Source organism: Homo sapiens, chromosome 1 (assembly GCF_000001405.40).
Source record: "Homo sapiens chromosome 1, GRCh38.p14 Primary Assembly".
In the NCBI taxonomy this organism is placed as follows: Eukaryota; Metazoa; Chordata; class Mammalia; order Primates; family Hominidae; genus Homo; species Homo sapiens.
In genome coordinates, this window is record NC_000001.11 from 172,414,670 (window position 1) to 172,440,083 (window position 25,414).

Here is a 25,414-nt window from a genome sequence, read left to right on the forward strand (position 1 = left end):
CTACTCAGGAGGCTGAGGCAGGAGGATCAGTTCAGCCCAAGAGTTTGAGACCAGATTGGCAACACAGCAAGACCTCATCTCTAAAAAAAAAAAAAAAAAAAGTTGTTTGTTTTAATTAGCTGGGCATGGTGGCTCATGCCTGTAGTTCCAGCTACCGGAGAGGCTGAGGCAGGAGGATCAGTTCAGCCCAAGAGTTTGAGACCGGATTGGCAACACAGCAAGACCTCATCTCTAAAAAAAAAAAAAAAAAAGTTGTTTGTTTTAATTAGCTGGACATGGTGGCTCATGCCTGTAGTTCCAGCTACCGGAGAGGCTGAGGCAGGAGGATCACTTGAGCCCAGGAGTTTGAGACTGCAGTGAACTGTGATCGTGCCACTGCATTCCAGCCTGAGGAGTGGAATGGGACCCCACCATCTCTTAAAAAAGAAAAAGACCAAATGTAAGAGCAACAAGAGCTCTCAACTAAGGGCAATTCATCTGGAGCTCTGGTACTTTGTCAAAGGAGTATCTGACTCTTAAGGAGGAAAGTCACATTGGAACAGGTAGCACAAAAGCAGTTTAGAGACATACATGCATTGAGTCTTAATGAGACTTATGAAGGATTCAGATAATTTTATACCTTACCTTTTCTCTCTGACTCTCCAAAAAAGGGATTCTTTAAATTACCTCCATGAGATTATTGTGAAGGAAGGCATCCAGGTTGATCTAAGATTAATCATCAGAGAAGAATGTTGAAGACTATTCCTATTGCCTTTCTTTCCTCCCTTTCCCAAGCCTTCAGGCTCACTCACTGCTCTGGGTTATTAACTTACCTAAAGGATGGGCAAAGAAAGCAAACAGAGCATTTTTTGTGAGTTTTTTTTTTTTTTTTTTTTTTTGAGACAGAGTCTCACTCTGTTGCCCAGGCTGCAATGCAGTGGTGTGATCTTGGCTCACTGCAACTTCCACCTCCCAAGTTCAAGTGATTCTTATGCCTCAGCCTCCCCAGTAGCTAGGATTACAGGCGTGTGCCACCATGCCTGGCTAATTTTTGCATTTTTAGTAGAGACGGCATTTCACCACATTGGCCAGGCTGGTCTCGAACTCCTGACCTCAAGTGATCCGCCCACCTCAGCTTCCCAAAGTGCTGGGATTACAGGCATGAGCCACTGCACCTGGCCTTTTTTGTGAGATTTTAACAGAAAAGAAAAAAGCTATAAGGAAGACCTCCTCAGAGATCTGGCCAGAGGAATGTCACCATAAGACCAAATTTCAGCGTTGACATAGAGCCAAAAGAATGAGGGTAATTCATCATTCTTGTTAATAATTGAGTCTTTTATATATAAATTACACCCATGTTCCAGATACAGCTTTCCAATCTCCTTTACCTGATTTGGCCAAAACATGCTGCTTTGAAGTTATTTTTCAGAATGCTTAAGAAAATATAACCTGAAATTATAGTCTTGATTAGGTAAATTTGCTTATATGTTGAATACTAGGATGGTGAGCTTAAGAATTTGTTAGCAACTCAGTATTCCAATTTAGTACTGCAACTTTCATATGGGAGTGGCAATTGTATGAGGTACCTTTGTAGCTCTACATGTAAAAAGCCCAAATATTTGCAGCACTTGCCTTTAAGCATTTCGGCACTGTGTAAGTCATATAAAAATTATGCAAAAGAAAGAGCAAAAACCCCAACTGCCCATATCCTTAAAAGAACTAATTTTGACCCAGTAAATGGTATCATCAACAACAATGCTTTTTCAGCAATGACAGGAAGGGTAGATACAGTAAAGTGAAGATGAAAAGAAAAAGCTGTCTGAGGATATAAATGTCACCCTGATGTTTCAAGCAAACATTCTAGCTGTCAGTGGAATATATTCCAAGACATAAAGTTTCTGATCCTGTTTCTGGATCAGAACACCAAACTAGCTCAAACAGGAAAGTGTTTTGGCATATGCTAACAGAATGTCGCTTCAGCACTGTGGACTTGCTGTTCAGTTTAATGGCCCACCTCCCCACCCTGCTGAGGTCATTAAAGTGTTCTAAAGCCCCTTCAGAACTCGAAAATAGTTTCTGTTTTCTGGGCAGGTGATAAATCTCATTGAGCTCGACAGAAATTTAATTACACTTTCTTCATGAAAACACCAGGGATACCCATTACCTGGATCTCTAAAGCTAAAGCCTTGCAGACCCCCTAGCCCCTGCCCCGGCCCTGAAGTTGAAAGGTTAGGTACCAATAACAAGTTCTCCATCATTTAAATGGATGGGAGGCCTCTTTAGTGTAGTCAGCTTAAACTGGACTGAAGGAAAATTGATTTTGGACTTTGGGGAAGCTAAGATCATTTTTTACCACTGCCCAGAAATACACCAGTCAGTTTGGCTCCACTAACATCTCATAGAAAATGAAAAAGAAGTTTTTCTGTTTTTGTTTTTGTTTTTTTTTTATAGACTTCATTGCTCCACTCACAAGCAAGAATAAGATGTGTAACAAGAATAAGATGGAAGTGAGCGTTGTTGAACACCTGGATAAGAAGTCAAAGAGAGTAGGGTCTTGAGATAATCTCACCATTCTACAGCTTCCTATAATGTTGAGTTCATTAATGGTTTGGTTAGAAAGGGGAAATTAAAGTGTAGACTTCTGCCAAAAACCAGAGGGAAAGCTTTATTTGGCCTGCTGTTTTCCTACTTACAAAGCTGTTCATTGCAATGTAGGGTTTACTGTATTTTCTCTAGCTGCAAATCATCTCCCTGCTGAACACAAGAAAGGCTGATGTCAAATGAAGCACAACTTGGACCCTCATTTCATTATCCATAGGTCTGATGAAATGCAAGCCAGCCTAGGGAAATGGAGAAAGATCCAGCAGACCAGATTTCATTTACCTTGGGCCCACTTCAGAACAAATCAGAAATACAGTTATACCTAGCTCTTAGACAGAGGGAAATCCTAGAAAATCCTGGGGTTGCCATGGACCAGACCTTGCCTCCTAGTTTCCCTAGGCCTGAATCCAGGCTATTACACACCAGGACTACTCACCTGGAGCAAATTCTTATTTACAAATCCTTTTTTTCTGAGATCAACCTCTGGCATTCTCTGCATTGTGATTACATTGCTCATTTGATCTCTTGACACCTTCTAATTTACCTCACTTAAAAAAAATTTAACCTGCCATTGGCTACATCAACTCCCTCTCCCCCTATGGAGATTTCACAACATTCATTGAAATCTTTGGAAATAACTGAGTTTCACAAAATCAGGGTTGAAAATCAAATATACAAGTTATAAAGGTATTTGGCTCGGGGACTAGTCCCAGTTCTCCTGAATAAGAGTGCATGGATTTATCATTCCATGGTGCAAAATAAGAAGCTTTTTGAGTGAGCTCAAATGGCTCATACCTAGAACATTGCTAGTAGCCAGGAAAAGTCCTGGGAACTGCTAACTTAGCTATGTGATGTCCCTTCATTTCCTTTGCATGTCTGCATGTTTTTGTGTGTGATTTGAATTTGACTTTTGTGAGCTATTTTTGCATGCTATTATTTGGGTTTATTTTATAATTTAAACATTGTTTTCTTCCTCTGCATCTGTGTCTTTCTTTTTGTTATTTTGTTTTGTTTTGTTTTGTTTTTACTAGGCGACCCCCTCCTGCAGTTCCAGGACGACCATCCTAACCCCCATCATTCATCTCCTTTTGTTTCCAACAACATGTCTATCCATGGTATTTAAAAGCTTTTCATTTGCACTATATGTCGTATGTACATAAAAACTTTTATTTTTCATCCATGTGTATAATAAAAACAAAGTTTATTCTATATAAAAATGAAGTGTGTTCTGTTTCTTTTTTTAAAGAAGACCTAAATTTAAAAAAGAATTTGTTTCAACTAAAACAAGGTAAGGTGAATATATTATGTGTTCCTCTAAGAAGCTTAATTCAAAAGTTCTTAAAGCATTGTGATTTAAGACGGTCTTTGGTAGAGACTAATAATCTACCTTCAAGTGAAATTTCTGTCCAATAGAAGAATAAAAAGAAAAAGAAAATTTATGGATGTCTAGAAAAAACACAGAAGACTAAATAATTCCAATCCACCTCCAGGAATCCCATTTTTACTTATTATTGCACCAAAATATTTTTTCCTATTATTGTTTTTCTAAACACTCTTAAGGGAGATAAAATGTAAGATCATAGAAGAAACTGTAGAGCAAAAACACATAAACCTCATAAATTCTATATGGCAAATGTAAGGGCGAAAAACCACATCATTCAGAATAAAAGTACAAGGCAAGGAAATGTTGCCACCTTGAGAAGAAAGACTCTTCATGATGTCAGTAAAGCACTAGAAAAATGGAGTCCATATAAGTTTGAAGGAATAGAGAACTTTTTATTCCTCTATCCTCAAATGGTAATTCTAACACTAAAATTTTAATCTATAATTTTTTAACAAGCATCCCAAAGATGTATCCAAATAAAATGTTTATTATTTAGGTAATATAGTACATTCCACCAAATATGTGATCTGAAGCCTTCCCAAAGGTTTAAGATTTAATTCAGAATTTTATTTTTTGAAAATTTATGTGGCCTAAAATAGAACTTGAAAGTAGTCCTTCTCAAATGAGATCACTTCTGAATGTGCTCCCCTTCAGCATATTAAGATGACAGAAAACTACATGACAAGAGAGTCAAAAAAATCATTCATCAGTTCTATTTACTTCACATCTGACCTAGGCAAGCCCTGGCAAAGGAGGTATTTGGAAGATGTGGGCAGGAACCCCCAGTTGTAAAAGGGAGAGTCCTCATTAGTAATGCTGTTTCTTCGGACCACAAATTTTTTTAAGGACTGAGTTCTCCACTCAAAAATGAAAAATCAGTTTCTTGGTTTAAAATGTTCATATGGCATGTTACATTATTTTAATTGTATCCCCGGTCCAGTGACTACCATTTAAAATCAGTGATAACTAAGAAAGTTCAAAGGCTCCAAACCAAGGCATCAACTGAAGCTCATGTATAGCAGGAAGGAGGTGACTTGATGTAAAATAGCACATAGCATGCAGTCTTTTGTCCTTTCCTTCCCCTCCAGTCCAGGCATTTGATTTTTAAATCAATATTCTTAGTGGATAGCATTCTTCATCCCAATAGACAAAAATGTACCTAGATGATTTCATACCACCTCCCCAAATGAAAACCGAAGTTGTCAAAGAGAAGGTTTTCTTCAATTCATTTTTTAAAAGTGTTTGGTACTTTTCCACTTTGTCTTAAACATGGACTTATTTTTATATGCAGTGTTACACAGTTTAGATGTATAAAACTTAAATTGACCTGATGAATGATGAGAAGGAAAAACTCCAGTCATAACAGAATGAAATGACAACCTTACTCAGTTTTCCTTAACAAAGAAGTGTGTTCCCTTCCTTACATTCTATAGGCAAGAAAAAAGAGGGCAGGGGAAAGGGATGGGGGGCAGCCTGGAGTAAAATTAAATTATGCTAAGATTTGTTAATATGTATTTAGTAAATAGTATTTCTATGTTTCATAATATACCTTTCCCCAACTCTTCTTACCTCCACCTCCACCCTGCTATGTTTAATAGACTTGAAAAATTACTCCCTTTTTCAGAGTTGATCATAACTCAGGATAGTCAGGAAGAGCCAAACTATTATGCCTTTAGTAAACATAATATTCCTTATATATTTTCATTCCTTTATTTATGCATCAAACATTTCTTGAATTCATGATAATGTCCTGGACCCTGGGAATACCAGAGAAGTAACAGAATAAAAGTAGCTTACAAAATAGCTAAATAAGCAATTACAATGTAGTGCTACAATAAGAGAAAAGTTTGGTTGTCTTTCCAGGGAGAACTGTTCTGACTTCAGTACTGAAGCAGCTATCTGAGTTTTAGTATACTGTTATCAACTTTACCCAACACATGCTAATGTTCCAGAACATTGTGATTTTGACTTCTAACAAAGAAAGGAATACTAGAACTCATTTCAGCCAATCAGAAACTGAGCTTTTCATTCTGAATGGAATTATATGATTCAAGATGTAAATCACACAGATGTTGGTAGAGAAAAAGGCATACTGGTATTGAAACTGTAAACTGGCCTGTTTACTTCGTCTCCTAACAAAAAACACTTTGGATTCAGGTTCTCCACAGCAGTCTTCCACTGGCCACAGTGAGGGGAGCTAGGTTTCCCCAGTCTCCAGCTAGAAAAACTCAGAACATCTAAAGATCTGAAAGATGGAAAAAAGAGAACTAAAGGTAGGAAAAAAATAAATGAAACTTCCAATTCTTTCCTTATGGGGTTACCCTGGTAAATGTTTGTATGCCTTGGAGGCCACATAAACATTGAGGGGTGTTTCAACAGACATCCTAGAAGTTGAAAGCCAAAAGAAGGTAAGGAAATAACAGCTGATGTTCAGTTACAGGTGAAGATAATTTTAATGGGTTTGGGGCATGATAAATTTCAATGCTCTTTATCGTATAGTTTGGAAAAAATGTTGTACTTGCCAACATCTTTTATAACTCAGCATTTAAGTATGATTTTTTTAAATCCTCAGAAAATTGATACCAGATTCTTTAGTGCAGTTCCCTGAGATTCTGAAGTAAACCTTCTCAACTGTGAATGCACTTTAAAACAATGAATCTCAGTCACAGGAAGTTAAGATTGCTGAGAAAGAAAAAAAAACTTGTATAGACTTTTATAATTACTAGGGTCTAAATCTGAATAAATCACATTGAGCTTATGACACTGTATGTTTCCTATTTAAAGGGATATACTAGCTGTCTCTATTACCATAGTACAGGTGCTCCTTGACTTATGATAGGGTTACATCTCAATAAACCACCACAAGTTGAAAATATTGTAAGTCAAAAATGCATGCAATACCCTGATGAACCCATGATAAAGTAAAAAAATCCTAAGTTGGGGAGGACGCAGAGCAAGATGGCCAAACAGAAGCCTTCACTGATTGTTCTCCATGCACGAACATCAAATTTAACAACTATCTACACAAAAAAGCACCTTCATAAGAACCAAAAATCAGTGATCACAAAGTGATCACAGTACCTGGTTTTAACTTCGTATTGTTGAAAGAAGCACTGAGGAAGATAAGAAAGACAATCTTGAATTGCTGACACCACCCCTCCCCCATCCCCTGGCAGCAGCCACATAGTGTGGAGAGAGAATCTGTGCACTTGGAGGGAGGGCACAGCGATTGTGGGACTCTAGAATTCAGTGCTGCCAATACGGGGCAGAACTTAGCTGTTGCCAATGGAGGGACCATTTAGACCACCCTTAGCCAGAGGAGAATTGCCCATCCCAGGTTTCAGAAACTGAGTTTTGACTACCTCCACCACCATGGGCTAAAGTGCTCTGAGGTCCTAAATAAACTTGAAAGCCTGTCTGGGCCACAACAACTGCAATACCCAGGCAAGTCCTAGTGCTGTGCTGGGCTCTGAGCCAGTGGACTGGGGAGCGCACGATCTAGTAAGACACCAGCCAGGATGGCTAAGTAAGTGCTTACAGCACCCCTCCCCCAACCCCAGGCAACACAGCTTATGGCTCCAAAAGGGACTCCTTCCTTTGCTTGAGGAGAGAAGAGGGAAGAGTGAAAAGGACTTTGTCTTGCAACTTGGATACCAGTTCAGCCAGAGTAGGATAGGGTACTGGGCAAAATCCTGAGGCACTCATTGCAGGCCCTAGCTCTTGGATGACATTTCTAGATATACCCTGGGCCAAAAGGGAACTGCCTTGAAGGGAAGGACCCAGTCTTGGCAGATTTCATCACATGCTGAATAAAGAGCCTTTGGACCCTGAAAAATCAGTAGCAGTAGCCAAGTACTACATACCGTGGGCCTCAGCTGAAACTCCGAAATGCACTGGCTTCAGATGTGACCCAGCACATTCACAGGTCTGGTGGCTACGAGGAGAGACCACTTCTGCTTGAGAAGAACAGAGGGAAGAATAAAGGGGACTCCGTCTTGAGCTTAGGTACCAGCTTAGCCACAGTGGGAAAGAGCACCAAGCCAGCTCTTTGGGTCCCTGATTCCAGTCCTTGGCTCTTGGATGGCATCTCTGGACCTATTCTAGGCCAGAGAGGAGCCCACTGCCCTGAAGGGTAAGTCACTTTCCTGGCAGCATCCAACACATGCTGGCAGAAGAGCCCTTGGGCCTTAAGTGAACATTGGCAGTATCCCAGCAGTACTCCTCATGGGCCTGTGGTGGTGTTGGACATGAGAAGAAACTCCTTTGCCTGGGGAAGAGCAGGAAAGGGTGGGAAGGACTTCAGTGGTTCGGGTGCCAGGTCAGCCACAGTAGAATACAAAACCAGGTAGATTTCTAAAGTTTCCAACTCCAGGCCCTGACTCCCAGACAGCGTCTCTGGACTCACCCAGGGCCCAGGGGAACTTGATTCCCTGAAGGAAAGGACACAGCCTTGCTGGTTTTACCACCTGCTGATTGTAGCGCCCTAGAGCCTTGAGCGAACATAGATGGTAGCCACGTAATAGTTACAGTGGGCCTTGGGCAAGACCCAGTGCTATGCTGGCTTCAGGTCTGACCCAGGGCAGTCCCAGTAGTGGTGGCCACAGGAGTGCTTATATCACCCCTCCCTTAGCTCCAGTCAACTCAGCACAGGAAGAGAGACTCTGTTTCTTTGGGAAAAAGTAAAGGAAGAGAACAAGAGTCTCTGCCTGGTAATCCAGAGAATTATTCTGGATATTATCTAGGACCACCAAGGTGGTACCTCTATGAGTCTGCAAGAGCCACAGCGTTACTGGGCTTGGGGTACCCCTTAATGCTGATATGGCTGCAGTGGCCAAAAACTTAGATCATAACACCCAAGTCCCTTCAAATACCTGGAAAACATTCCGAAGAAGGACAGGTACAAACAAGCCCAGACCAGACACTAACAAGCATCCACAAGCACAGGACCATCCAGGAAAACATGCCCTTACCAAACAAACTAAATAAGACATCAGTGACCAATACTGAAGAGACAGAGATAGTGACCTTTCAGACAAGGAATTCAAAATAGCTGTTTTGAGGAAATTCAAAAAAATTCAAGATAACACAGAGAGGGAGAATTCAGAATTCTATCAAATAAATTTAACAAAGAAATTGAAATAATTAAAAAGAATCAAGCAGAAATTCTGGAGTTGAAAAATGCCATTGACATACTGAAGGATGCATCCATCAGAGGCTGTTAGCAGAATTGATCAAGCAGAAGAAAGAATTAGTGAGCTTGAAGCCAGGCTGTTTGAAAATATATAGAGGGGACAAAAGAATAATTCCAAGTTGAACCATTGTATGTCAGGGACCATCTTTATATATTTTTGTTATTGTTTTTGATGCTACAAGTTACTATTGAATCTAAATACTGTCAACATATTAAGATCAGACTAGGTGGCAGGCTATTGGATGAGTCAACACTATAAACTCCTACTCCCATCCTCGGTTTTTAATCAAATCAAGTTTTATCATACATTATGTCACATCCCAATTTTCAGCCCCAGTTCACATCTTCAATGAACCTCATGAACATGAGCCATGGGTAGATAATAAAGAAAGCCTAAGCAAGCCGCAGAAGACCAAAGAGACTTAAGGATCTGCAAGGCAGTAACCAAGAAGTCACTAATGTGGGTTCTGCCTCTCAAAACAGCTACTAACAAAGTATTTTGATGTTCCACATAACATTATCAAAAAATTAGCCTCTCAGGCTTTTAGGGGTTATATTCCCTTCTCTTTTTTATTTTGTTTTTTGAGATGGAGTCTTGCTCTGTCACCCAGGCTGGAGTGCAGTGGCACGATCCCGGCTCACTGCCACCTCTGCCTCCCGGGTTCGAGAGATTCTCATGCCTCAGCCTCCAGAGTAGCTGGGACTACAGGTGCCTGCCACCACACCCGGCTAATTTTTGTATTTTTAGTAGAGATGGGGTTTCACAATGTTGGCCAGGCTGGTCTTAAACTCCTGACCTCAAGTGATCTGCCCACCTCAGTCTCCCAAAGTGTTGGGTTTACAGGTGTGAGCCACCGTGCCCGGCCTCCTTGTTCTTATCTCTGAGGGTACATTCAGAAGGCAATGGAGAGCAAGTTAGAGTCAAAGAGATGATTCCTTCTGCCTCTTTTTTTTTCTTTTAATGACAAAAATATTCTCAGCTACATCCACAAAATCTGCTCAATGTCTTAAAGATCTATTTATTTTGCAACTTAAAAAGAGTGTGAGGCCCACAGTGTTCTCACTGACCAGAGTTCAAATGTCACTCGGGCCCAGCACAAGGCCACAGGGCCAGCCTGGAGTGGCAAGCAGTGAGCCAACAGAGCTTGTAAAGTAGAAGCAGCTCCTCTTGAGCCAGGTTTCGTGGGAGCCTGAGGGACCTCAGCATTGGTAAAATCAATTTGTTCCATCATCCTAGTAGTATTATGGTCAAAGAATTACAGAGCTAGTCTGTTTAGGACAGAAGACCTTAGGATCATACTGGATGTTACTTGATTCTCAATGCCAGTTGGTTCCATTTGGTGGCAGAAAAGGCCATTTGTCTTTCTAAGCCCTTTCCTTGGGTACTTTTACCCCAGCATTACCTGATGGGCATAAGGAGGCAGCACCAAATAGTGTTGCCAGACTTGTGGTGCTGAGCACATGCCAGCCAATTGGGAAATGGCTGCTTCCTGACTACCCCACCTCTGGGGAATTATCTCATTAATCACAGTAATATACCTGGAGGAAAATGATGTTTTAATTTTTTGATGATGGTTATTGTTCGTCAAGTTACACCAACATTGATGGCATCTGTGAGTTACGAAAGGAAAAAAAAGCAAAAAGTATAGGCGTGGTCTAAGCTAGCAGGCCCAACAAGCCTTCAGCTGTTTCTAATCTGCCTCTCCCCTGCAGCTGAGCCCTCTTGGTGGCCAAAGGAGTATGCCTTATCAGGCCCAACCTTCCACAGAATGTTGGTCAAACCCTGGCTCTCACCTAAGCTCTGATCACTTTGCCCAAAATCAAAATTTTTAGAGCACTACAATGACACTGCTTGCTATTAGAAGTTTGCACTGTTCTGAGGAGGTTTGTGATATTATCCCCAAAAGGTCCTTGTCAAAATGCACATAACCCAGAGAACTAGCACATTAATCCCATTAGTGAGCAATAATATGCTCATGAGGATGTGAAAAGGCCTACATTCTGAGAACACATCTCCTTCAAGGTGAAGAGGAAGCCCCCAAAATTCACCCCTCCCTACCCACCCACTCACACGCTCACTACTACTATCTGCCTTACACTTACTGGAACTTATGTCATTAACCTTTTATCCCAGCCTGTGTCAATCATCCAAGAACCCCTGGATTCTAGGCCACTCTCCACGCTAATTTCCATGCAGTTCTGTATGTTCCTATTCTGTCTTCCCATCTCTCCCAAATTTCTGTAACCCTTCCACTGTCTCCTCTATAATTCACTGCCCATGATCAACAAAATTCCCTGTATCTTCAACCTATTCTCTGGATATGCACTTCACAATCTTACTCTAACAAACCAGAGTTTCTCTGAAAGGACTGCCTCCCCTGCATCCTTTTCCAAAGGTGGCAGCTTGTCTCCCACAGCCCTCACACTGCTGAGCCTGAAGTGGGGTAGTTATCCTCATTTTTTGTTTTGTTTTCAGACCATTCTTCTTTCCTCCTCGCTAAAACCCCCAGCTTTGAACCTCATGGCATCAGATTACAGCACTATCTACATGACCCTATGTGTTGCTTTTAACTACCAATGCCCAATTCATTCTCCCTTATTTCTTGATGATTTTAGCTCCTGTTTCAATGTCACTCCCTCCAGTGATACTCCTGTTTTAATTCTTGGGGATTTTCATACGCTTCTTGGTAATCCACCCTCACCCTGCCTCTCATTTTCTTGACTTCACTCTTTCAATGGTCTTTTTTTTTTTCTTCTACTTGAGTGCTAAGTAGTGAGATCTTGCAATGATCTTGCTCTCCACTCTATCTCAGCTACTCATTTCCAAAATTAAAACCTTGTCTTTCCCCACTCTCTCATCTCTATATCCTATCTTTCTAGCCTACTTCTATTGTTTTAATCTCTTGGATCTCCAATCTATTCACCTTTATGCTGTCCCTCAGCCCTCTGTCCTTCACCCTTCTTGAGGTTCACTCTCCTTACCCAACTTAAATTGAATGGTCAATCATTGTCATCATGCCCATGCATATATACCTGTCTCCCTTGCCCTTCTCTCAATTTGTTAAAACCACCATTCTGGGTAAATCTAACTCTCTACCTACTCTGGTTTGCACCCATGTAACTGTACATGGTCTGGAAAGCACACACACAAGCAAAGAACAAAGCCAGGATAACTGGTTTCACTTTAAATTAATCACCACCATATTCAAGTGAGCCCTTAATACTGCCAAGCAGTTACACTAAGCATCCCTTGTTCATTCACTCTCCCAATGTCCTAAGTTGTTTCACACCTTTTCTCTCACTCCCCTATCCTCAATCTCAGCTGATTCCTTGCCTCCAACTTCCCTGAGAAAATTGAAGCAATCAGAAAAGAACTCCCAAAGACTCTCATCACCTCATCTACCCATTTACTAATATCGGTATTCATCTACTCTGTCTTCTCACTTGTTCCCATAGATCAACCATCCCTGCCCTTGTCGAAAGCCAGGCTTTGCACTTGTGCACTTATGTACTCCAGAATATTTCCCCAGCAATTCTTCCCTCTCTCACACCATCAACTAACAACTCTCTACCATTTCATTTCAATCAGGGTGCAAACATGCTATCATTTTTTTGGTCTTCACTTTCCCTTTCAGTTTCTGTCCTATTTCCTGGCTCCCCTTTGAAGCAAAACTATAAAGCTGTCTATACTTGCTGCTAAATTTCTCTTCTATTTTCTCTTAAACCCACACCAAACAGGTTTTTATTCCAGCACTCCAACAAAAACCTGCTCTTTTAAATGTAAAGGTCAATTTTCAGCTGTCTTACTTGCTTTATCATGTTTTTATCTGATCACATTTGATCACCCACTCTCTCTGGAGACACATTCAGCACTTGGTTTGCAGGACACAGAATTCTCTTGCTTTTCCCTTGCCTCAGTGGTTTTGCTGTCCAAATCTTTTTGCTTCTTCTTCGCCTCAACATTTTACTTTGGAGTTCTTGGTCCTTTTCTGTCTATAACCATTTCCTTGGTGATCTCATTCAGTCTCACAGCATTAAATATCATTTATATTGCCAACAAATCCCGAATTTATATCTGAATTTCATCTCTCTCAAACTCCAAGGTCATATTTCCTATATTCCCTTCAACATTTCAGGCTGAATGTCTTCAAGACATTTCCTATCCCACGTGCACCAAACTAAACTCCTAATCTTCCTCCCCAAAATCTCCAGTTACCATCCCTCTGCCCCCACCTCAGTTAACAACATATCCATATTTCAGTTTGTTCAGGGGAAAAACCTTAATTTATAACTCTTCTCTTTCTTTCACACTCTACATCTAATACATCAGGTAGCCCCACTGTCTTTACTTTCAAATTACATATAGAACGTGACTATTTTCCGCCACTTCCTCTGCCATCCTCTGTTTTGAGCCACCATTATCCCTTGCTTGTATTACTGCAAAAGCCTCCAAATGCTTCTTCCTGTGTCTACTCTTGCCCTACAGCAACCAGAATGAGCCTTTCAAAATATGTATCTTCTTTTTCTCCATGACCCTCCAATGGCTCCTATCTCAGAGTAAAAGCCTAAGCTAGTAGCTTACAATGTCATACATAATCTAGCTTCCCACGTTACCTCTACGACTTCGTCTTCTGTTGCTCACTCCACTTCAGCCACTCCTTGCTATTCCCCACACATGCCAGGTATTCTTCTGCCCAAAGGTTTTGTAGCAGCTCTTTCCTCTGCAGCTCTTCCCTCTGACTGGGATGCTCTTCCCCAGGGAATCTGAATTACTCCCTCACTTCCTTCAAGTCTTTGGTAAAATGTTACCTTTCCCATGAGACCTACTCTGACCTCTTTATTTAATGCTATGCCACTTTTTTCTTTTTTCCATAGCACTTACTACCTTCCATTTATGTTTATTATCTATCTCCTCCTGCTATAATGTCAGCTCTACTAGGTCAAGAACCTTTGTCCTTTTTATTTACAGATATATTCCAAGCACACAGAACAGTATTTGTCATACAGTAAGTACTCAAAAAATATTTATTGACAATAAATTCCTGAAGCCACACACTATAAAAATCTGAATGGTAGAAGGTGAGTAGAGGGAAGCTTATGTAGATACTAAATATTTTGTTGGATTTTGGGGGATACTGTTGGATACTGGGGGAAGAGAATAAGGGATAAGGGAACGATGAGGAATTTGACAAAGCATTAAAAGCAACTGCCTACCATTATCCTTCAGTCCTGGGCTCCATTCAGGCACAAGCACAGGCTTTGTGTAAGAAAAGCAAAGTATTAGCCCAAGTTGGTAACATAGCCTTAGGCAATACTTAACCCACTCTGAGTCTCAGTCTCAACTGTGAAATGGAAATAAAACCTCTTACAGGATTGCTGTGAGAAGTAAATACAAATATACACACACACACACACACACACACACACACACAGACACACACACACATACACACACAACGTGCATAGCACGTTACCTAGCACGCATTGGGTGCTCTAAAATACAGGTGCTATTATTTATCAAACCCCAGTATGCTATTTACCTCCTGAATTTATGGAGACCTCAGACTCATTAATTCAGGTGTAGTTATTTCCCAAACCACAATTCAGCAAGAATTTCAAGACTCTAATTGCATCTCTTATAAAAAGGGAAATCAATCACTTCCACAAGATGGCACTGTGTCCCAGCCCTGTTTCCCTAAATACAACAGGTTTGAAATTTTGTATAACTATGTAACTGATGCCCTCTGCTGACTTGTTTTCTTTTTCTTGTCCTTGAGCCTTTGGCTTGGAGGATGTAAATGATGGCTCAATATGCATCCTCTATATGCTTGGTATGAATTATTAAATCCACAATGTAACCCAGCTGCCCAAAGTATTTCTCAAAAGTTTACTGACACCAATACAATCTCCACACAGAACACCAGGCATGTTGCTACAGCCAGATGCACAAGCCTTCTAGTTACATGCCAATCATAAATCAGCTGCATCACGCCACAAAATAAAGTGCACCTGTCATCCTATTGCTCTACTTCTTCTTAATCCCTCCCATACCAACTTTAATCCTTAATCCTTGGCACCATTTTGGAAGTGTGAGCAAAGCTGCCTCCCCATTCCTCTGTCCTTGATCTCACTTGCCACACCACCCTCCAGCCTTACCTGTAACTTAGAGTGATAAGAAGCAGAGCTGGGAGGAAGGGGTGTAGAGGGAGAAGGGCAGACAGCTTCTTATGCTGGCAAATATTTGGCAGGTTGGGATTTAATTCCAATGCTACTGTAAACTTTTCCTCCTCACCTTTCCCCCTTTCCCACACACACCACAGTATTCTCTAAAACTCTAAATCATTCATATTCTACTTGCACCCTTTCAGTGTGGTTTAAATATAAGAGACTGACTAGATCACTGAATTTAAGTGATGAGTAACTTCCCACCACAACTGTCATACTACTTTATACCAATTGTTTTCTAGGCCTGAATCCTTGTGCCAGCAGCCCACAAAGAGGCATGCCACAGGTGAGCCTCATCATCCTTCTGATGGCAGCAGTTAAGGGCTCTGGATTGCTTGACATTTTCTTAATAGAACGTTTAATGAATTTTTAATTTGCAATTTTTCTTAAACCTTTTTTTATTTATTTTTGAGACAGGGTCTTGCTTTTTGCCCATGCTGGAGTGCAGTGATGTGAACACAACTCACTGCATTCTCGACCTCCTGGGCTCAAGATCTGCCTGCCTTAACTTCTCGTGCAGCTGGGACCACAGGCACGCATCACCACCTCCAGTTAATTTTTTAAATTTTTTGTAGAGACAGAAGTCTCACTTTGTTGCCCAGGCTCGTCTCAAACTCCTGGGTTCAAGCAATTTTCCCACCTCAGCCTCCCAAAGTGCTGAGATTGCAGGTGTGAGCCATTGCGCCCAGCCAGATACAGCATTTTTTACAAATTGAAGATTTGTGGCAACCTTGTGTTAAGCAAGTCTGTCAGTGCCATTGTTCCAATTGCATGTGCTCACTTTGTGTTCCTGTGTCACATTTTGGTAATTATGACAATATTTCAAACTTTATTATCATATCTGTTATGCTGATCTGTGATCAGTGATCTTTGATGTTACCATTGCAATTGTTTTGGGGTACCACAAACTATACCCATATAAGAGGGCAAACTTAGTGGATATGTGTGTGTGTTCTGACTGCTCCACTGACCAGCTCTTCCCTGTCTTTCTTCCTCTTCTTGGGCCTCCCTATTTCCTGAGACACAACAGTATCAAAATTAAGCCAATTAATAACCCTGCAATGGCTTTTAACTGTTCAAATGAAGAGTTGCACATCTCTCATTTTAAATCAAAAGTAGAAATGATTAAGCTTAGTGAAGAAGGCATATCAAAAGCCGAGACAGGCTGAAAGCCAGGCCTCTTGTGACAAACAGCCAAGTTGTGAATGCAAATAAAAAGTTATTGAAGGAAATTAAAAGTGGTACTCCCATGATAAGAAACTAAAAGAGCCTTACTGTTAATACAGATAAAGTTATAGTGGTCTGTATAAAAGGCTAAACCAGTCACAACATTCCCTTTAGGCCAAAGCATAAACCACAACAAGGCGCTAACTCTTCTCAATTTAACAAAGGCTGAGAGAGGAGAGGAAGCTGCAGAAGAAAGGTTTGAAACTAAGAGAGGTTGATTCATGAGGTTTAAGGAAAACAGCCATCTCTGTAACATAAAAGTGCACACTAAAGCAGCAAGTGCTCATATGGAAGCTGCAAGTTATCCAGAAGATCTAGCTAAGAACATTGATGCAGGCTTCCATTCCAAGATGGCCAAATAGGAACAGCTCCAGTCTGCAGCTCCCGGCGTGATCGATGCAGAAGACAGGTGATTTCTGCATTTCCAACTGAGGTATCTGGTTCATCTCACTGGGCCTGGTTGGACAGTGAGTACAGTCGATGGAGGGTGAGCCAAAGCAGGGCGGGGCATCGCCTCACCTGGATTGCTCAAGAGGTTGGGGGATTTCCCTTTCCTAGCCAAGGGAAGCCGTGACAGACTGCACCTGGAAAAACAGGACACTCCTGCCCCAAACACTGTGCTTTTCCCAAGGTCTTAGCAACCGGCAGACAAGGAGATTCTCTCTCGTGCTTGGCTTGGTGGGTCCCATGCCCATGGGGCCTTGCTCACTGTAGCACAGCAGTCTGAAATCAAACTGTGAGGCAGCAGCCTGGCTGGGGGAGGGGCGTCCTCCATCACTGAGGCTTGAGTAGGTAAACAAAGCAGCCGGGAAGCTCAAACTGGGTGGAGGCCACTGCAGCTCAGCAAGGCCTACCGCCTCAATAGACTCCACCTCTGTAGGCAGGACATAGCTGAACAAAAGTGAGCAGACAACTTCTGCAAACTTAAACGTCCCTGTGTGACAGCTCTGAAGAGAGCAGTGGTTCTCCCAGCACAGCATTTGAACTCTGAGAATAGACAGACTGCCTCCTCAATTGGGTTCCTGACCCCCAGGTAGCCTAACTGGGAGACACCTCCCAGTAGGGGCCGACTGACACCTCATACAGGTGGGTGCCTCTCTGGGACGAAGATTCCAGAGGAAGGATCAGGCAGCAATGTTTGCTGTTCTGCAATATTTGCTGTTCTGCAGCCTCCGCTGGTGATAACCAGGCAAACAGGGTCTGGAGTGGACCTCCAGCAAACTCCAACAGACCTGCAGCTGAGGGACCCGACTGTTAGAAGGAAAACTAACAAACAAAAAGGAATAGCATTAACATCAACAAAAAGGACATCTACACCAAAACCCTATCTGTAGGTCACCAACATCAAACACCAAAGGTAAATAAAACCACAAAGATGGGGAGAAACCAGAGAAGAAAAGCTGAAAATTCTAAAAACCAGAGCGCCTCTTCTCCTCCAAAGGATCGCAGCTCCTCGCCAGCAATGGAACAAAGCTGGACAGAGAATGACTTTAATGAGTTGACAGAAGTAGGCTTCAGAAGGTCAGTAATAACAAACTTTTCTGAGCTAAAGAAGCATGTTCTAAGCAATCGCAAGGAAGTTAAAAACCTTGAAAAAAGGACAGATGAATGGCTAACTAGAATAAACACCATAGACAAGACCTCAAATGACCTGATGGAGCTGAAAACCATGGTACGAGAACTATGTGATGCATACACAAGCTTCAATAGCCGATTTGATCAAGTGGAAGAAAAGGTATCAGTGATTGAGATCAAATTAATGAAATAAAGCAAGAAGACAAGTTTAGAGAAAAAAGAGTAAAAAGAAACAAACAAAGCCTCCAAGAAATATGGGACTATGTGAAAAGACCAAATCTACGTTTGATTGGTGTACCTGAAAGTGATGGGGAGAATGGAACCAAGTTGGAAAACACTCTTCAGGATATTATCCAGCCTAGCAAGGCAGGCCAACATTCAAATTCAGGAAATACACAGAACACCACAAAGATACCCCTTGAGAAGAGCAACCCCAAGACACATAACTGTCAGATTCACTAAGGTTGACATGAAGGAAAAAATGTTAAGGGCAGCCAGAAAGAAAGGTCAGGTTACCCACAAAGGGAAGCACATCAGACTAACAGTAGACCTCTCAGCAGAAACCCTACAAGCCAGAAGAGAGTGGGGGCCAATATTCAACATTCTTAAACAAAAGAATTTTCAACCCAGAACTTCATATCCAGCCAAACTAAGCTTCATAAGTGAAGGAGAAATAAAATCCTTTACGGACAAACAAATGCTGAGAGATGTTGTCACCACCAGGCCTGCCTTACAAGAGCTGCTGAAGGAAGCACTAAACATGGGAAGGAACAACTGGTACCAGCCACTGCGAAAATATGCCAAATTGTAAAGACTATCGATGCTAGGAAGAAACTGCATCAATTAACGGGCAAGATATCCAGCTAACATCACAATTGCAGGATCAAATTAACACATAACAATATTAACTTTAAATGTAAATGGTCTAAATGCCCCAATTAAAAGACACAGACTGGCAAATTGGATAAAGAGTCAAGACCCATCAGTGTGCTGTATTCAGGAGACCCATCTCACGTGCAGAGACACACATAGGCTCAAAATAAAAGGATGGAGGAAGACCTACCAAGCAAATGGAAAGCAAAAAAAAGCAGGGGTTACAATCCTAGTCTCTGATAAAACAGACTTTAAACCAACAAAGATCAAAAGAGACAAAGAAAGCCATTACATAATGGTAAGGGGATCAATTCAACAAGAAGAGCTAACTATCCTAAATATATATGCACCCAATAAAGGAGCACCCAGATTCATAAAGCAAGTCCTTAGAGACCTACAAAGAGGCTTAGACTCCAACACAATAATAATGGGAGACTTTAACACCCCACTGTCAATATTAGACAGATTAACGAGACAAAATGTTAACAAGGATAACCAGGATTGAACTCAGCTCTGCACCAAGCAAACCTAATAGACATCTACAAAACTCTCCACCCCACATCAACAAAATATACATTCTTTTCAGCAGCACATCGCACTTATTCTAATATTGACCACATAGTTGGAAGTAAAGCACTCCTCAGCAAATGTAAAAGAACAGAAATCACAACAAACTGTCTCTCAGACCACAGTGCAATCAAATTAGAACTCAGGATTAAGAAACTCACTTAAAGCCACACAACTACATGGAAACTGAACAACCTGCTCCTGAATGACTACTGGGTACATAACAAAATGAAGGCAGAAATAAAGATGTTCTTTGAAACCAATGAGAACAAAGACACAACATACCAGAATCTCTGGGATGCATTTAAAGCAGTGTGTAGAGGGAAATTTATAGCACTAAATGCCCACAAGAAAAGCAGGAAAGATCTAAAATCAACACTCTAACATCACAATTAAAAGAACTAGAGAAGCAAAAGCAAATTCAAAAGCTAGCAGAAGGCAAGAAATAACTAAGATCAGAGCAGAACTGAAGGAGATAGAGACATAAAAAACCCTTCAAAAAATCAATGAATCCAGGAGCTGGTTTTTTGAAAAGATCAACAAAATTGATAGACCGCTAGCAAGACTAATAAAGAAGAAAAGAGAAGAATCAAATAGACACAATAAAAAATGATAAAGGGGATATCACCACCAATCCCACAGAAATACAAACTACCATCAGAGAATACTATAAACACCTCTATGCAAATGAACTAGAAAATCTAGAAGAAATGGATAAATTCCTGGACACATACACCCTCCCACAACTAAACGAGGAAAGAGCTGAATCTCTGACTAGACCAATAACAGGCTCTGAAATTGAAGAAATAATTAATAGCCTACCAACCAAAAAAAGTCCAGGACCAGATGGATTCACAGCCGAATTCTACCAGAGGTAAAAAGAGGAGCTGGTACCATTCCTTCTGAAACTATTCCAATCAATAGAAAAAGAAGGAATCCTCCCTAACTCATTTTATGAGGTCAGCATCATCCTGATACCAAAGCCTGGCAAAGACACACAAAAAAGAGAACTTTAGGCCAATATCCCTGATGAATGTCGATGCAAAAATCCTCAATAAAATACTGGCAAATGGAATCCAGCAGCCCATCAAAAAGCTTATCCACCACGATCAAGTTGGCTTCATCCCTGGGATGCAAGGCTGGTTCAACATACGCAAATCAATAAACGTAATCCATCACATAAACAGAACCAACAAAAAAAACCACAAAATTATCTCAATAAATGCAGAAAAGGTCTTTGACAAAATTCAACAGCCCTTCATGCTAAAAACTCTCAATTAACTAGGTATTGATGGAACGTATCTCAAAATAATAAGAGCTACTCATGACAAACCCATAACCAATATCATACTGAATGGGCAGAAACTGGAAGCATTCCCTTTGAAAACCAGCACAAGACAAGCATGCCCTCTCTCATCACTCCTATTCAACATAGTGTTGGAAGTTCTCGCCAGGGCAATCAGCCAAGAGAAAGAAATAAAGGGTATTCAATTAGGAAAAGAGGAAGTCAAATTGTCCCTGTTTCCAGATGACATGATTGTATATTTAGAAAACCCCATCATCTCAGCCCAAAATCTCCTTAAGCTGATAAGCAACTTCAGCAAAGTCTCAAGATACAAAATCAATGTGCAAAAATCACAAGCATTCCTATACACCAATAACAGACAGAGTCAAATCATGAGTGAACTCCCATTCACAATTGCTACAAAGAGAATAAAACACCTAGGAATCCAACTTACAAAGGATGTGAAGGACCTCTTCAAGAAGAACTACAAATCACTGCTCAACAAAATAAAAGAGGACACAAACAAATGGAAGAACATTCCATGTTCATGGATAGGAAGAATCAGTATCATGAAAATGGCCATACCGCCCAAGGTAATTTATAGATTCAATGCCATCTCCATGAAGCTACCAATGACTTTCTTCACAGAATTGGAAAAAACTACTTTAAAGTTCATATGGAACCAAAAAAAGAGCATGCATTGCCAAGACAATCCTAAGTAAAAAGAACAAAGTTGGAGGCATCACCCTACCTGACTTCAAACTATACTACAAGGCTACAGTAAGCAAAACAGCATGGTACTGATACCAAAACAGAGATATAGACCAATGGAACAGAACAGAGGCCTCAGAAATAACACCACACATCTACAACCATCTGATCTTTGACAAACCTGACCAAAACAAGCAATGGGGAAAGGAATCCTGATTTAATAAATGGTGCTGGGAAAACTGGCTAGCCATAGGTAGAAAGCTGAAACTGGATCCCTTCCTTATACCTTACACAAAAATTAATTCAAGATGGATTAAAGACTCAAATGTTAGATCTAAAACCATAAAAACCCTAGAAGAAAGCTAGGTAATACCATTCAGGATATAGGCATGGGCAAGGACTTCATGACTAAAACACCAAAAGCAATGGCAACAAAAGCCAAAATAGACAAATGGGATCTAATTAAACTAAAGAGCTTCTGCATGGCAAAAGAAACTACCATCAGAGTGAACAGGCAACCTACAGAATGGGAGAAAATTTTTGCAATCTACCCATCTGACAGAGGGCAAATATCCAGAATCTACAAAGAACTTAAACAAATTTACAAGAAAAAAACAACCCCATCAAAAAGTGGGCAAAGGATATGAACAGACACTTCTCAGAAGAAGACATCTGTGCTGCCAACAGACACATGAAAAAATGCTCATCATCACTGGTCATCAGAGAAATGCAAATCAAAATCACAATGAGATACCATCTCACACCAGTTAGAATGGCAATCATTAAAAAGTCAGGAAACAACAGATGCTGGAGAGGATGTGGAGAAATAACACTTTTACACTGCTGGTGGGAGTGTAAATTAGTTCAACCATTGTGGAAGACAGTGTGGCGATTCCTCAAGGATTTAGAGCTAGAAATACCATTTGACCCAGCCATCCCATTACTGGGTATATACCCAAAGGATTATAAATCATGCTACTATAAAGACACATGCACACGTATGTTTATTGCAGCACTATTCAAAATAGCAAAGACTTGGAACCAACCCAAATGTCCATCAATGACAGACTGGATTATGAAAATGTGGTACATATACACCATAGAATACTATGCAGCCATAAAAAAGGATGAGTTCATGTCCTTTGCAGGGACACGGATAAAGCTGGAAACCATCATTCTCAGCAAGCTATCACAAGGACAGAAAACCGAACACCACATGTTCTCACTCATAGGTGGGATTGAACAATGAGAACACTTTGACACAGGGTGGGGAACATCACACACTGGGGCCTGCCGGGGGGTGGGGGGAGGGGGGAGGGATAGCATTAGGATAAATACCTAATGTAAATGACGAGTTGATGGGTACAGCAAACCAACATGGCAAATGTATACCTATGTAACAAACCTGCACATTGTGCACATGTACCCTAGAACTTAAAGTATAATAATAATAATAATAATAATAATAATAAACAAAACGATTTATTTCTACTAGAAAAAAAAATATTGACAAAGGTAGCTACACTCAACAATAGATATTCAATGTAGATAAAAAAGCCTTCTATTGGAAGGTGCCATCTAGGATTTTCATAGCTAAAGAGGAGAAGTCAATGTCTGGCTTCAAAGGACAGGCTGACTCTCTTGTTAGGGGCTAATGTAGTTGGTGACTTGACATCGATGCTCATTTACCATTCTGAAAATCCCAGGGCCCTTGAAAATTACGTGAAATCTACTCTGCTCATGCTCTGTGAGTAAAACAATAAAGCATGGATAGCAGCACATCTGTTTACAGCATGATATACTGAATATTTTAAGCCGAGTGTTGAGCCTACTGCTCAGAAAAAAAAAAGATTCCTTTCAAAATATTACTGTTCATTTAAAATTTGTTTCCATGCCTGCTAACACAGCATCCATTCTGAAGTCCATGGATCAAAGAGTAATTTTAACTTTGAAGTCTAATTAAGAAATACATTTTGTAAGGCTATAGCTGCCATAGATAGTGATTCCTCTGATGGATCTAGGCATTGCCATTAAGAACATTTGTAACTTGTGAGAGGAGGTCAAAATATCGACATTAATAGGAGTTTGGAAGATGTTGACTCCAACCCTCATGAATTACTCTGAGAGGTTCGAGACTTCAGCGGAGCAAATAACTGCAGATGTGGTGGAAATAGCAAGAGAACTAGAAGTGGTGTGTAAAGATGTGACTGAATTGCTACAATCATATGATAGAACTGAAGAGATAAGAAATTGATTACTATGAGTAGCAAGAAAAGTGGTTTCCCAAAATGAAATCTACTTCTGATGAAGATGCCATGAACATTGTTTTTGTTGAAATAACAATTTTTAGAATATTACATGAAATTGTTATAAAGCAGTGGCAGGGTTTGAGAGGGTTGACCCAATTTTGAAAGATGTTCTACTGTGAGTAAAATGCTATCAAACAGCATCATGTGCTACAGAGAAATCTTTCTTGAAAGGAAGAGTTGATAGATGCAGCAAACTTCATTATTGTCTTATTTCATGAAATTGCCACAGCCACCTCAGCCTTCAGCACCTACCACCCTTATGTCAGCAGCCATCAACATCAAGGCAAGACCCTCATCAGCAAAAAGATTCTGATTCACAGAAGGCTCAGATGATTGTTCGCATTTTTAGCAAGAAAGCATTTTTAAATTAGGGTATGCATATTTTTTAGACATGAGAGTGCACACTTTATAGACTTTATTATAATGTAAGCATAAATTTTATACACACTGGAAAACCAAAAAATTCATGTGATTTGTTTTATTGTAATATTAGCTTTATTGTAGTGGTCTGGAACCGAACCTCAGTATCTCCAAAGTATGCCTGTATATAGACAGATATTGGTGCACATATATGTGAATGGTATACACACTTTGTGTGTGTGTACATGTCTATATATACACACTTATATATGATTTATCTATCTAGTTTTATCACATCTCTCTTCAAAAGCCCCTTAACTTGCCACTGACTACAGGATACAATAATGCAAAGTATTCAGCACTCTCAGATTTCAGTCCCTCACTACAGCCCATTTGTCCTGTGCTATTCTCCACTGCCAGGATGCATCAGGTCCTGTGCACTCTGGCACATACTGTTCATTCTAGCTGTAATAACCTTCTCCCCACAGCTACCACTTTTCTGTCCAAATTAAGTCTACTGCCTCACCCTTCATCCTTGCATCTATCCCGCAACTCTCCGTCTCCCACCACCTTCACAATGAATTTCTACAACCACCAAATTGTGTAAGATCAGGGACTGAGTGACTCCAAATACTATACAGTGTGACAGGGAAAAGCTGAAAATGATAGTGCAGCCATATTGTCATCCCACCAAGAAACTATTCTTGAAAGTTTGAGAAACTTTCTGGTCACCAATATGCACGTTTGCTACCTGAGTTCCCTAAAATTAACAATCACAAATGCCTTCAAATAATACAAATGTATTAATACATATAAACAAAAACTACAATTTCATAGAACTCTTTACTATCTTCAACCACCAACACCTAGCCCTGTTCCTGATGTGGACTATAGAATAATTATGAGGCATGCCTCTATTGAGGCACAAGCCCAAACCAGGAGCAGGCAGTGGACAGATGCTTTGGGCTTCAGAGGTTAGTCCCTGAAACCCTTTTCTCCTCATTGGCCAGTGTCCTTGGATATAGAAAGCAGTCCAATTGACCTTACAGAAAACCACCAATTTTTTTTATCACAAAACACAATATTCATCTGTCCAAATAAAACTCTGATAAAGAATGTGACATGAC

The 25,414-nt window shown here is 40.6% G+C and overlaps 2 protein-coding genes and 1 long non-coding RNA gene across 11 annotated transcripts in view, besides 1 other annotated feature; 2 read left to right on the forward strand and 1 right to left on the reverse strand.

Moving 5' to 3' along the window:
- The window catches only part of DNM3 (dynamin 3), a 576,969-nt gene extending 573,172 nt beyond the window's left edge, over nt 1-3,797 (forward strand). For 3 of the 4 annotated variants that reach the window (XM_017000979.2, NM_001350206.2, XM_017000984.2), the window contains one exon: nt 3,612-3,797. In XM_017000979.2, coding sequence (XP_016856468.1) covers nt 3,612-3,648 — 37 coding nt within the window. In that variant the 3' untranslated portion in view covers nt 3,649-3,797. Of the gene's footprint in view, nt 1-2,430 lie in introns of all 4 variants that reach the window. The other variant, XM_047417389.1, reaches the window with a different exon arrangement.
- The window catches only part of LOC102724528 (uncharacterized), a 29,606-nt gene extending 20,919 nt beyond the window's left edge, over nt 1-8,687 (reverse strand). The window contains exons 1-2 of one of the 2 annotated variants that reach the window (XR_922284.4): nt 7,046-7,797; nt 625-705 (exon numbers count right to left, since the gene is read on the reverse strand). This is a non-coding gene — a long non-coding RNA (uncharacterized LOC102724528). Of the gene's footprint in view, nt 1-624; nt 706-7,045; nt 7,798-7,827 lie in introns of those variants that run through there. The other variant, XR_001738294.3, reaches the window with a different exon arrangement.
- The window catches only part of C1orf105 (chromosome 1 open reading frame 105), a 48,145-nt gene continuing 28,746 nt past the window's right edge, over nt 6,016-25,414 (forward strand). For 3 of the 5 annotated variants that reach the window (NM_139240.4, XM_011510154.3, XM_011510156.3), the window contains exon 1: nt 6,016-6,237. In NM_139240.4, coding sequence (NP_640333.3) covers nt 6,217-6,237 — 21 coding nt within the window. In that variant the 5' untranslated portion in view covers nt 6,016-6,216. Of the gene's footprint in view, nt 6,238-14,124; nt 14,162-15,622; nt 15,667-25,414 lie in introns of all 5 variants that reach the window. The other 2 variants (XM_011510152.3, XM_011510153.3) reach the window with 2 other exon arrangements.
- Nucleotides 14,159-14,681: an enhancer, noted in NCBI's record as "NANOG hESC enhancer chr1:172397968-172398490 (GRCh37/hg19 assembly coordinates)". NCBI's record gives its function as "activates a minimal SCP1, AML or CMV promoter by ChIP-STARR-seq in naive H9 embryonic stem cells {active_cell/tissue: H9 hESC(naive)}" and the evidence as "EXISTENCE:reporter gene assay evidence [ECO:0000049][PMID:30033119]".